A 12,121-nucleotide genomic window follows, 5' to 3' on the forward strand; every position below is an offset into this window, starting at 1 on the left:
CATTTTCTTTTTCTTTTTTGAGAGAAAATCTCACTTTGTTGGCCAGGCTGGAGTGCAGCGGCGCAATCTCTTCTCACTGCAGCCTCGACCTCCTGTGCTCTGGCAATCCTCTCACCTCAGCCTCCTAGGTAGCAGGAACTACAGGCGCACGCCACCACCCCCAGCTATTTTTGTAGAGATGGGCGTTCGCCATGTTGCCCAGGCTGGAATGTAAGCATTTTCTGAGCATCTACTATGTGCCAGGCACCGTGCCAGGGGCTTAACGACATCATTTCCTAATTCTCCCATGAGGTCAACATTTGTTTCCTCATTTTACACCCAAGAAAGTTCTGAAACATTAAGCTCATTGTGCAAGAGAAACAAGAAAACAGAAGCAGCACGGGCCTGTCTGGGGTTCGGGGCTGTGTCCAAGGCCGGAGTTCTCATGCTGTGGGGGCACAGGCGTCATCACACCCTAGGCTACCACCCGCCAGTCAGGCCATGTGCAAGGGGGCCTCCTTGCCCTTCAGACCTCCCAAAGGGCTGGATAGGCATGAGCCCCTATGCCCCACCTCTGACTGCTTCTTAGAACTTATTTTGTGTCATTCTAGTGTCCCCTCCAGACACCTCTCTCCCACAAGACCCCGGCCGTCCCTACCGCAGCTTAGTGAGACCCCATGCCTTTCAGGAAGGACCCCTGGCCACGCTGTGACAGTGGGACTTCGACAGCGTCCTGCATGTTGTCAATGGAAGACCCATGGGGAAGCGCTGACACTCACGGCGGCAATGGAGGGCTTCTTCCCATCCCCGGCGGGGGGGTGAGTGACGTCTGCTCCCAGAAAGATGACGGGCTGCTGGAACACCGGCGGCCTGCGGAGAGGAGTGGCGTCAGGGGCCACGGTGAGACACGCCTGGACCTCTGACGCTAGTAGGTGCCACCATCACCTTTTGGAGGTGGTCAGTGTATCATGGTAATGCTTTTGAAAAGAATCCTTATCTTTTAACCGGAATACTAAAAACCCTGCAGATTAAATGACACAAGGTCTGAAATCTGCTTCAGAATAGCCACGGGTTGGGGGGCTTGGGTGGAGTGTACTCCAGACCAGATGGGCCAGGAGCTGACAGCTGTTGAGGCTGGGGCTCAGGCCCAGGCCCAGGAGGGCTCACCCTTCTACCCTCTACTCCCTCTGCAGCCACACCCACGCCAGGGTTTCTCACCGCCACCCTTAGCACCACCAATGCCTGGGGCCAGCTCGCTCTTTGTTGGGGTAGGGGGCTGTCCCCAGCATGGGCAGACGCTGAGAGGCCTCCACTCACTGGATGCCAGTAGCACTCCATCAAGCCTGACACCCCAACATGTCTCCAGACATGACCACGCGTCCCCTGGCAGCAAAACCACCCCATGGAGAACTTTCAGACCCTGAGTATATCCCAGTGGGGACTTCCCTGGGAGGCAGCACGCACAGGGGCAAGGACAGGCATGTGGGCCTCGGGCTCTCCGGGGAAAGGCGGAGGTGGTGACAGCACCTTCCTCCCGGGTTGAGAGTGCACCGCCGCACACCCCACCCAGCCTTGCTCGGCTGCTGCAGGCAACATCAGGAAGCATCAGAAGTGGCCGTTCTGCCAGCCCTGCCTGTTGGAAACCAGGTACATGAGGCCCTCGCCTCTGCTGCCCTCTCCCCGCATCCATTTCCCTGCATGCCTGTGACTCACTCTCCGCCCACATCCTCTCACTCCCATCGCCTGCCTTGCGGCAGAGCTCCGACTCAGCCGAACCCATCACTGCTTGCGCTGGCTCCCAGGCCCCTTCTAGTCAGACTTCTCACGGCCACAGCAACAGGGCTCCTCTCCCCAAGGTCACCGATGAGCTCTGCATCACCCAGACCCATGGCCGAGCCTCAGGCCTCGCTGCGTCTGGCCCGCTGCAGGACACACTTCCCTTGGTGCCTAGGGCCCTGCGGCCGGCCTCCCTGCCCCAGCCTCTCCCATCTCCGCTGCTGGTTCCTCCCTCTCCAGGCCTTGAACTCCAGCCTTCTCTAGGGCCCAGGGCTTGGAATACCACCTGTCTGCTAAGGATTCCTGGATCCTGTCTCCCCTGATGCCAGCCTCCTGGCTCCCACCGTCCACTCATCAGCTGCACTCAAATGACCTGCAGACGCTGTGGGGGCCAGTTCATCCACGCCCAGTGCTCACCCTCCCAACAGCCTCCCCGTCTAATGATGACGGGGTCTCTCCTGCAGCCCAGGCCAAGGGCCTTGATTTTTCCTTCACACACAGCCCAATCCCACCTGCCAGCAAGTCCCAGGGCTCTATCTTCAAAACATCTCAAAGTCTAGATGCTCCCACTCTGTGCCCCTGCCCTGGCGTGGCCGAGGCCACCAGCCCCTCTCGGCTTCACGGAGCCAGAGGTGGCCACACTGTCGGGTGCCTCCGACGGCCCCAGCTCACCCCAGCTCACCAGAGGGAGCCTTCATTCCCCAGCATTCCCCAGGCAGCACGTGGGAGGGCCTGTCTCTTGTCTGCTCTCATGGTCCTCTCATGGCTCTGCTGTGCACCTGCCGCCTGTACGATGGGCTCATGACCTGGGTGCCTCCACCAGGACTTCCGGCCCGGTGCTGCCCACTTATGGCCCAAACTCCCTGCACACAGTAGGTACTCAATAAATACAGAACCTGTTGACTGAGGAACAGCACTTTCAGTTCCCAGCCAGCTCTGGATTGGTCTTCGCTCATTCCCATGAACCTGTTTCACTGCAGAGCCCGCACCCCACGCTCACAGCCGTTCCACTCGGAATCCAGGTTCTTCCCATGTTATTATCCCGCTCCCTGATGAATTCAACGGACTGTTTCTGGGTGCGTGTAACTCGGTAGCTCTCAAAACCTGGTCCCCCATGTGGCAGCATCGGCACTGTGTCCGTCCACTTGCTAGGGGTGGAAATTCCTGGCCCCAATCAGTCCTGCTGAGTAGGACACTCGGGAACGAGCCCCGCTGGGGTTCAAGAGCTGCTCAGGTGTGAGGACACTGTGGTGGCCAAGCACAGGCCTGTGCACACAGCAGGGGCTCACCACCGCCCACTTTCCAAATACAGAGGGTCACTGCCTTAAGGCAGTTCGATTTAGGATTCTTAACTCTGTGACGGCGTGCCAGTGATGCAGATTTAGCGCACTGCCTGGCTTAGGATGGCTTTATCAGCTGAGCCCCACTGTGACTGGGAGCTCCAACAGATCCACGCCACAGGGGCTGCCTATGGCCTCCAGTTCCCTCCTGCCCAAACGCACAAATAATCTGATTCTACGTATTCTCCGTTGTTGTCGTCCAAATGTTAAGACAACTGCCAGGGTTGGCAAAGATGCCTGTCATTGTGTGGAGACGTCTTTCTTGCCTACATCACAGGTTGGTGGCTTTGGAGGAGGGGAAGAAGCAAACCCTGGCCCTGCCCTGGAATACCTGGATGCTCAGCCAGTCAGGAGGTGCCAGAGGAGGGTGCAGCTCCATCACCCCCAACCCCCGTCCCCGGCGGTCAGCCCTGGGCCTCTGAGACCGGCAGGTGGCCAGCGCTTGGCCACATATCCTGTCCTGGCCTGGGAGCTGCCAACAGTGTGCTCCCATGAGGAGCTTTTCAGTCTAAAGTCCCAGCACGACGCAGCATCCATGACTAGCCTGGTGTGGGAAGCATGGTAGAGGGCCCTGGTCCACACGGTAGCTGCTGCTGCTGCTGAGCCAGGGAAGCCCATCTCCATCTCCTGGCCATCCAAGGCATGCCCTGCTCTGCCTTGCCCACTGGGATTCGAGGCACAAATTTCTCTGTCTGGAAACCCGGCCACAGTGCTCAAACTCCTGCAGACGCCCCTGGTCCCCAGCAGAGCGTGAGCAGCCAGATCTATGTCTGACATCTTTGCTCTGCTGTGGCCAGGACGGTGCTGGGCCCAGGTGAAGGGACCCTGCCCCCCTGCCCCCTGCATACTGCACCCCACCCTGCCAAGCGTCCCACTGTGCCCTGGTCCGCAGGCGGAGGTAAAGGGGCCGGGCCTCACCTGCCCTGGGGCAGCAGGATGTTGTTCACGCCTCCCAGCTTGACGTTGATCTTCAGGCAGAGGTTGGACAGGGTCTGTGGCGTGGTCCTCTGCACGTTCTTCATCTGCACGCACTGCGTGGCCATCCCCAGCACCGTGTCTCCCACGCGCTTGACCTCGGCTAAGGGACATGAGAGGCACACACAGCTCTGCCGGCGCCCCTTCCTCAGCTGGCCCCGAGAGCAGCAGCTGCCACCAGCCCTCTTGCCCCCATCTGGCAAGTGCAGCCATGGCAGCTGTGCTGAGCTTTGCGTGTCCCCCTCTGTCCGAGGTCGGTGATAGAAGAGGGTCCCTGGTCCCGAGGGGGACGCCAAGCTCCTTGGAGTCCAGACTCCAGCACGGCTGTGCCCGCCTCGCCCAGGCCAGGCTTTCCCTCCCTCAGGAAGGGAAGTTGAGTGAGTCTATCTCATCCCTCCAATTTATCAACAAAACGATTTAAATGCCTCACCTAGGGCCCCAGGGCAGGAGAGAAAGAGCCCAACTAAAAGAAAGGACTTGGCTCCCTGCTTAGGAAGGCCACTTACACTGGCCGGGCGCGGTGGCTCACACCTGTAATCCCAGGACTCTGGGAGGCCATGGCGGGCGGATCAGCTGAGGTCAGGAGTTCAAGACCAGCCTGGCCAACATGGCAAAACCCTGTCTCTACTAATAATATAAAAATTAGCCGGGCATGGCAGTGTGTGCCTGTAATCCCAGCTACTCGGGAGGCTGAGGCAGGAGAATTGCTTGAACTCAGGAGGCAGAGATTGCAGTGAGCCAAAATCACACCACTGCACTCCAGGCTAGGAGACAGAGCCAGCCCTTGTCTAAAAAAAAAAAAAAAAAAAGGAAAAGAAAAAAAGGAGGGTCACTCACACCACGGCGCCCTGGCTGTAAGCAAATGCTTGGGTGGTTAAAAATAAAAACACTGGCACCCTCCAAATCCTTGGCAGATGTAGACCTGACATCAAAGAGCTCCACGGACCCACCCCCCGCTATTCCTGGTCTCTTTCATGAAGCAACTGGTCAGCTGCTCCCTGGGCAGGTGTGGGGAAATGGTGACCCTGGGACAGTGTTAGCAGGATGTCAACACCAACAGCTTTTTCTTCCCTTCTTTTTTTGGGATGTTGAACTGAGAGAAGTGTGGTTTTTACATGTCAATAATCTGTCTGTGGCTCAGCGTGGGGCCCTGTGGGTGACCCCCTGGCATGGACTTTGGCGAAACTCCACAAAATTCTGAGGTGGGCACAGAGTGGTTACACATAGGCTGAGTCCCGGGCAGGAGGTGACCCTGGTGCAACGCTCTGTGCGTTAAACAAACGTTCCCCCATCCAGCCAACACGCATGCTGTATGATGGGCGGGGTGCCCACCCATGTGCCAAGGCCTGTGCCACCCGAGGGTGCTGACTGCCCAGGACCATGGCATCATACAGGACGACGGGGAGGCCCTGAACACAGTGATCAGAAGTGGCAGTGATGACAAGCCACCTCTTCTTCCTCAGCCTCCTGAAAGGCCCAAAAGGAGCACCTTTCTCAGTGCAGCAGAAACACAGAGGGGCTTAGGCAGGAACAAACACCCACGGAGACCACGACGGCTCCCCACAGCCAGCGGGAGCGCCCACACCTACCGTACACGGGCGTCTTGCCGGGCAGGATGACCACCACCAGCTGCAGGCCCGCATACGTGTTCTTCAGGTGCCGGAACATGGGCTCCACGCTGTCCGCCCCCTGCGCGTATTTGCAGAAGCACGGCTGGCCCTGGATGGGCATGCCGGCGTCTCTCGAGATCTTTCTGAGCTGCTCTGTGAAGGACCTGCAGGAGAAGGCTCCGTTCACTACCGGGCACTGGGAATGGCAGAGAACTCAGGCCGACCAGAGGCTCTAACACAAGGGCGTCATTTTTACAAAGCCCAAAGCACTTTCATTGAGGTCAAAATTGTTCTTAAAGTCCTGAATGAGGCCAGAATTCAGAGCTACATCTCCTAACACATACTAACTCATGAGAAAGGTTAAGTGTGCTAAACATACATGTAACATGTAAGTGCACTCAAAAGTCACATGCGGCTAACTTGCCACCGTAACACAGCAGCCTTTAAACCGCGCTCACGCTGCCTCGCGGCTGTGGCGGCCCCAGGGCAGTGATGCGATGCTGTCCCCGTAAAGCTGCTGAGCAGCGCCTGGAGCTCTTGTGAAGCTCTCCCCACGTGCAGGCCAGGCACTGTCAGAGTGAGGGAGGTTTTCAGCTCACTGTCCTTTTGGATCTTTTCCCCCAGTAGTTCTGATGGGCATAACTTGGACTGTATGACATCATCACGAGAGAAAACAGCAGCCCGCAGCCTGAGGAGTGGCAGCAGCTGGCAACGGCTAGCCTTGTGAAGCTGGGGCGGGGTGGGAGGCAGGGCAGCGGCTTCTATTTTAAGCCGAAGACTAAGAATCATGTCACCTTCTACAATAAGGGCGAGGACACGGCACTCCAACCCAGCCAGTGTCCAATTTCCTGTACATTAGATCAGGTCAAGAAACACGTGTGTGTCCACCCATATCTTCAGCTCCAGGCCAAAGTGAAGGAAGGGGCCAAGGACAAAAGAAGGGGCAGGAGGCGACCCTGTGTTCAGAACTAACCTACTTCAGCTTGCTTCCCAAACCCCCTCTCTAGGCTTCCACCTCCTCTGCCAGCAGTGTGGACACAAGGTGGCCTCAGAAGGACAGATGGCCACTCGCCAGCAAGACGTCAGCTCTGAGGGCCATGCTGGTTCGCAGTCAGCCCTTGCTGGAACTGTTAAGGGACCGGCTACACCTCACAGGCTGGAGTTCTCCCCTGCTGCCCCCACAGAGCGGGGAAGCAAAGACTTTATGTTCCCTTTGAAGTCTGGCACAAAGGCACGAGCCACCCTGCTGTGTGCTCCCAACACAGTCCCGCTGGGCCCGTACCTGGCACGGCTGTGCTGGCCGAGGCGAGCATCCTGGGTGAGGGCAGGCCCTTCCACAGCACTTGGGCCTCCTAGAGGGCCTGGTACTCACCTGGGCAGGTGGCAGAGACCTGAACCAACACTTCTCTCCTCTTAATCACTCCTCTTGTCTGGGAAGGAAGATAACACTCCCAGCCTCTCCACCTCTCTATTTCACCTTCTCTTCCTATTTTTTTTCTTGAGATGGGGTCTTGCTTTTTCACCCAGGGTGGAGTGCAATGGTGTGATCTAGGCTCACTGCAACCTCCACCTCCCGGGTTCAAGCGATTCTCCAGCCTCAGTGCCCTGAGTAGCTGGGACTACAGGTGCACCACCACGCTTGGCTAATTTTTCTATTTTTCGTAGAGATGGGCTGGTCTCAAACTCCTGACCTCAAGTGATCCTTCTGCCTCAGCCTCCCAAAGTGCTGGGGATTACAGGCATGAGCCACTGTGCCCGACCCATCTCTTCCTGATTCTGTCTTCATTTTCTCCTTCTAATTTACACAAATATGGAGCCAAATTATTATTTTTTAAAATAACTGTAGTTCATTGAATCCAATTCTCTCTTTTGCCCCTACTTATAAATTTCCTTCAGATCCTGTTTGGTTTTGTCTACGGTCTGCGTTACTTCTCCATGCTCACTGCGAGGGTGGGTCCCAGGAGTGAGAGGGGCACCAATGGGGCCAGCATGTCTTGCCCTGGCCCGGCCAATGGTACGTGACAGGGAAAGGCTGATGAACCCTGACATCAAAACCCATACCAGCACCCTCACCCCCACCCCAACCAGAGTCAGCCCTGCAAGTGGTCACTTGAGCTGCCCATCGGGCAGCACCCCCAGGCCGGAGCCTCTGCCTGTGGGGGGCTTACTTCAGATGGACTTCCGTGCACTGGCGCTGGGGGGCGAAGCACGCAATGGCCCACACCTTGATCTCGATGCCCGTGTGGAACTGCTTGTTCCGCATGTCCCAGACGCCCTGGACAGGGGTCGCAATAGCTTTATTCTGCAAATGGCAAAAGGTTCAGGGTGAGAAAAAAATGGAAAACATATTCCTTCAACCTTAGACTTTGTCACTCTCACTGTTGGTCCCCCTGACCAACAACTGCTTCTCAGGGAAAGAACTTTTGTGTTGTCTCCTGTCTCTGACCTGCCTAGTGATGCAGACAACTGACAGGATCGGTAGATGGATGGGCTGGTGGAAGATGGGTGGGTGGATGGTTGATGGGTGGGTGGATGGTTGATGGGTGGGTGGATGGTTGATGGGTCGGTGGATAGTTGATGGGTGGGTGGATGGTTGATCGGTGGATAAGGTAGGTGGGTGGTCCGTTGATGATCGGTGGATAAGATGGGTGGGTGGATGGTTGATGGGTGGATAAAGTGGGTGGGTGGATGGCTGATGGGTGCATAAGGTGAATGGGTAAATGGTTGATGGGTGGATAAGGTGGGTGGGTGGATGGCTGATGAGTGGATAAGGTAGGTAGGTGGATGGAGAGATGGAGAGATGGATGAATGGATGAATGGATGGATGGATGGAGTTAGATGGAGGATGGATGGGTAAGTAATGAACAGACAGATGGGAGCTAAGCCAGGAGGAGGGAGGCCCAAAGCTCCATCCAACCTCATGAGCAGCCTGGAGGAAGAGAAGTGCCTTGCCATGCTACAGGCCTTGCCATGCTACAGGAAGGCCTCCTGTTCTATACAGAGCTTTCCCTCATTTCCCCTCCTCTATCACCAATGATGTGGGAAGGGGAGATCAGAGCTGGGACTGAGCCCATAGCTTTTTCCACTCAGCATGCCACTGCCTGCAGCTGTGTCGGAAACGGGAGCTACTTCCACTTGAGAAGAGAAAGGCGGGCTGTGCAAATGCGCTGTCAGCTCTCAGCCAGCTCTCAGCCAGCCCTGAGCACTGTCACCTAAGGAATCTCTGAACTGGCTTCAAGTGATTCTCAAGGGAAGGGTGGGCCAGGAAGGGTCCCGTGTGGGAGGGACAGGCACTCCTAGGCCTGGGGGCATTGCTAAAGGATGCGGCTGTGCCTGGGCTGCCGTCATTTACTCTGGAGAGGTTTTTGTTTTTTTTAGCAGGAAGCATCTTTCGTACAAAATACAAGCCTGCTGTAGAAATCAGACACGTGATAGAAACAAATGCTTTGTTTCCTATATTTTTATAACTACTGCCTGTTCCCACCAGCCTCCCTGTGTGCAAGAGTCTCACAGACAGCCTGGGGCTCCAGACAGGGAGTGCACACACACACACACACGCATGCACTCACATGCACATGAACACACGCACATGCACGCGCGCGCGCGCACACACACACACACACACACACACACACACACTCTTACTATACAGGTGCTTCTCAACCTCGGCACAACTGACATCCGAAGCTCAATGATTCTTTGTTACGGGGCTGTCCTGTGCCCTGTAGGCGATCCCACTCACCCCCAAGTTGTGACAATAAAAAATGTCTCCAGACACTGCCAGATGTCCCCTGGGGGGCAAAATCATCCCTGGTCGAGAACTCCTGCTGTACACATTGCTTTCTGAGGGATATTTTGTTTTTTTGCACTAACAATGGACCAGGGGTAGGTAGAGTAGGGGACAGGAATGTTTCCTCACATTATAATGTTTTAGAGATCTGGAAAAATGTATTCATGTATTAACAGAAGCATTACACGCTCAGTCAGGTGCAGTGGCTTACACCTGTAATCCCAGCTGAGGTGGGAGGACTGCTTGAGCCCAGGAGTTCAAGATGAGCCTGGGTAACATAGTGAGACCTCGTCTCTACAAAACATTAAAAACCTAGCTGGGTGTGGTGGTGTGGCTGTGGTCCCAGCAATTCGAGAGGCTGAGGTGGGAGGAACGCTTGAGCCCGGAAGGTCAGGGCTGTAGTGAGCTATGACCGCGTCACTGCACTGGAGCCAGGGCAACAGAGAAACACTCTGCCTCAAACAAGTTACAAGTTTTTTGTTTTTTGTTTTTTTTTTTTTTTGAGACGGAGTTTCGCTCTTGTTGCCCAGGCTGGAGTGCAATGGCACGATCTTGGCTCACCGCAACCTCTGCCTCCTGGGTTCAAGCGATTCTCCTGACTCAGCCTCCCGAGTAGCTGGGATTACAGGCATAGGCCACCACACCCAGCTAATTTTGTATTTTTAGTAGAGACGGGATTTCTCCATGTTGGTCAGGCTGGTCTCGAATTCCTGACCTCAGGTGATCTGCCTGCCTCAGCCTCCCAAAGTGCTGGGATTACAAGTGTGAGCCACCATGCCTGGCCTTTTTTTTGAGACAGTGTCTCACTCTGTTGCCCAGGCTGGAGTAAAGTGGCACAATCTCGGCTCACTGCAACCTCTGCCTCCCAGGTTCAAGTGGTTCTCCTGCCTCAGTCTCCCGAGTAGCTGGGATTACAGGCGCATGCCACCATGCCCAGCTAATTTTTGTATTTTTTAGTAGAGATAGGGTTTCGCCATGTTGACCGGAGGCTGGTCTCGAACTCCTGACCTCAGGTGATCCTCCTGCCTTGGCCTCCCAAAGTGCTGGGATTACAGGCATGAGCCGCAGCACCCAGCCTACAAGCTCTCTTAATCCCTACACTCTTGAGATTTTTGCAACGTTGGCTTACACAAGCTCTTCTGTTTTTCAGACAACCACTGCCCTTGCTAACAGCTGAAGCCCGAGGGAACAGAAGCCAGCAGGGCTGTGAAGCGGTGCTGGGTTCAAAAGCCCCATCCCCGCACAGGGGCCAGGCACTCCTCTTGCCCTCCCGGGGCGTCTCCTCCCCAACTCATGAAGGGGGATCACGGGCTCTTCCTCCTGGGCTTGGGCTGTGTTTATACAGCATCTGGGGCCTCGGGGGACAAGCGAGCCAAGGAGGGGCTGAAGGGCCCTGCTCAGACTCCCTTCAGAGAGACAAGCAGTGGCCATGCCCACCACCAGGGACACAGACCCCCCCACGTGATGGGGTGCCACGCAGCAGTGCTAGAGGACAAGACACACACGAACAGCAACACAGAACGGCCAGCAGCCTCTCAGTGAGCTCTAAGGAAATGTTAGCTAGAAAACAGCGAGGCACAGAAATATAGGTAATGCTATTATTTTCACAAAAAGGGGTGAATCATCCCTGGGTGATTTTACAAAGGAGAAGGAACACCAACTGCTTCTTGAGAGGGCAACTGAGAACTGGGAAAAAAGATACTTTTTCCTTTAATTCTTTTGTATCTTCTGAATTCTGAAACATTTAAAAAACAGAACTGTTTTTTTTAAGTATTTTTTATTTTTTGAGACAAGTCTTGCTCTTTCGCCCAGGCTTGAGTGCAGTGGTGTGATCTCAGCTCACTGCAACCTCCACCTCCCGGGTTCAAGGGATTCTCCTGCCTCATCCTCCTGAGAAGCCGGGACTACAGGTGCGCACCACCACTCCAGGCTAATTTTTGTATTTTTAGTAGAGACAGGGTTTCTGGTCTCAAACTCCTGACCTCAAGCGATCCACCCGTCTCAGCCTCCCGAAGTGCTGGGATTACAGATGTGAACCACTCACTGCGCCCAGCTCAGAACCCATATTTTAAAATAAGACAAGAAAAACAAACAAACAAACAAAAAACAAACCAAAACCTCGCTACAGGTCTTGAGGATGAGAATAAAATTCCATTAGGTAGAAACTAGGGTGTAAAAGGTTAGGCAGACTCTTACACAGATGCCAGGTGCTTAAGAAAGTCAGTGACCTCTGACACTAAGACCCTGCAGAGCCCTGGTGTCCCTTCCAGCATGGTCACCTCTGGGCCCTCCCATCAGACATGGTATGCTTGCAACCGTGGTATGCAAGCGAGCCCAGGAGGAAATGAGAGGAGACCCTGGAGGGCTCAGTGTTCAGGACACCTTTGGTTACACACTGATAAAAAGGAGAAGTTAAGGGCTGGACACAGTGGCTCACACCTGTATTCCCAGCTACTTGGGAGGCTGAGGCGAGAGATTTGTTTGAGCCCGGGAGTTAGAGGCTGCAGTGACCTATAGTCAGGTCATGCCACTGCCTTCTAGCTCGGGTGACAGAGCAAGACCCTGCCTCAAAACAAACAAAACCAGAAGTTAAATTAGCAAGGACAAAAAACTGTTACCAAACATCCCCAAAGCAAAAGTTAAAGAATAGA

General features: G+C 55.2%; 1 protein-coding gene across 7 annotated transcripts in view, besides 2 other annotated features; it reads right to left on the bottom strand.

Moving 5' to 3' along the window:
- AGO2 (argonaute RISC catalytic component 2) overlaps window positions 1-12,121 on the bottom strand; it is a 122,158-nt gene that overhangs the window by 23,299 nt on the left and 86,738 nt on the right. For all 7 annotated transcript variants that reach the window (XM_011516968.3, NM_001164623.3, NM_012154.5 and 4 more), the window contains 4 exons: window positions 7,849-7,982; window positions 5,660-5,844; window positions 4,014-4,173; window positions 759-849 (listed from right to left, as the gene is read on the bottom strand). In XM_011516968.3, the coding sequence (XP_011515270.3) occupies window positions 759-849; window positions 4,014-4,173; window positions 5,660-5,844; window positions 7,849-7,982 (570 nt within the window). The remainder of the gene's footprint in view (window positions 1-758; window positions 850-4,013; window positions 4,174-5,659; window positions 5,845-7,848; window positions 7,983-12,121) is intronic.
- Window positions 1,215-1,992: an enhancer, noted in NCBI's record as "H3K4me1 hESC enhancer chr8:141554768-141555545 (GRCh37/hg19 assembly coordinates)". NCBI's record gives its function as "activates a minimal SCP1, AML or CMV promoter by ChIP-STARR-seq in naive H9 embryonic stem cells {active_cell/tissue: H9 hESC(naive)}" and the evidence as "EXISTENCE:reporter gene assay evidence [ECO:0000049][PMID:30033119]".
- Window positions 6,429-6,929: an enhancer, noted in NCBI's record as "H3K4me1 hESC enhancer chr8:141559982-141560482 (GRCh37/hg19 assembly coordinates)". NCBI's record gives its function as "activates a minimal SCP1, AML or CMV promoter by ChIP-STARR-seq in primed H9 embryonic stem cells {active_cell/tissue: H9 hESC(primed)}" and the evidence as "EXISTENCE:reporter gene assay evidence [ECO:0000049][PMID:30033119]".

This window comes from Homo sapiens, chromosome 8, assembly GCF_000001405.40.
Source record: "Homo sapiens chromosome 8, GRCh38.p14 Primary Assembly".
In the NCBI taxonomy this organism is placed as follows: Eukaryota; Metazoa; Chordata; class Mammalia; order Primates; family Hominidae; genus Homo; species Homo sapiens.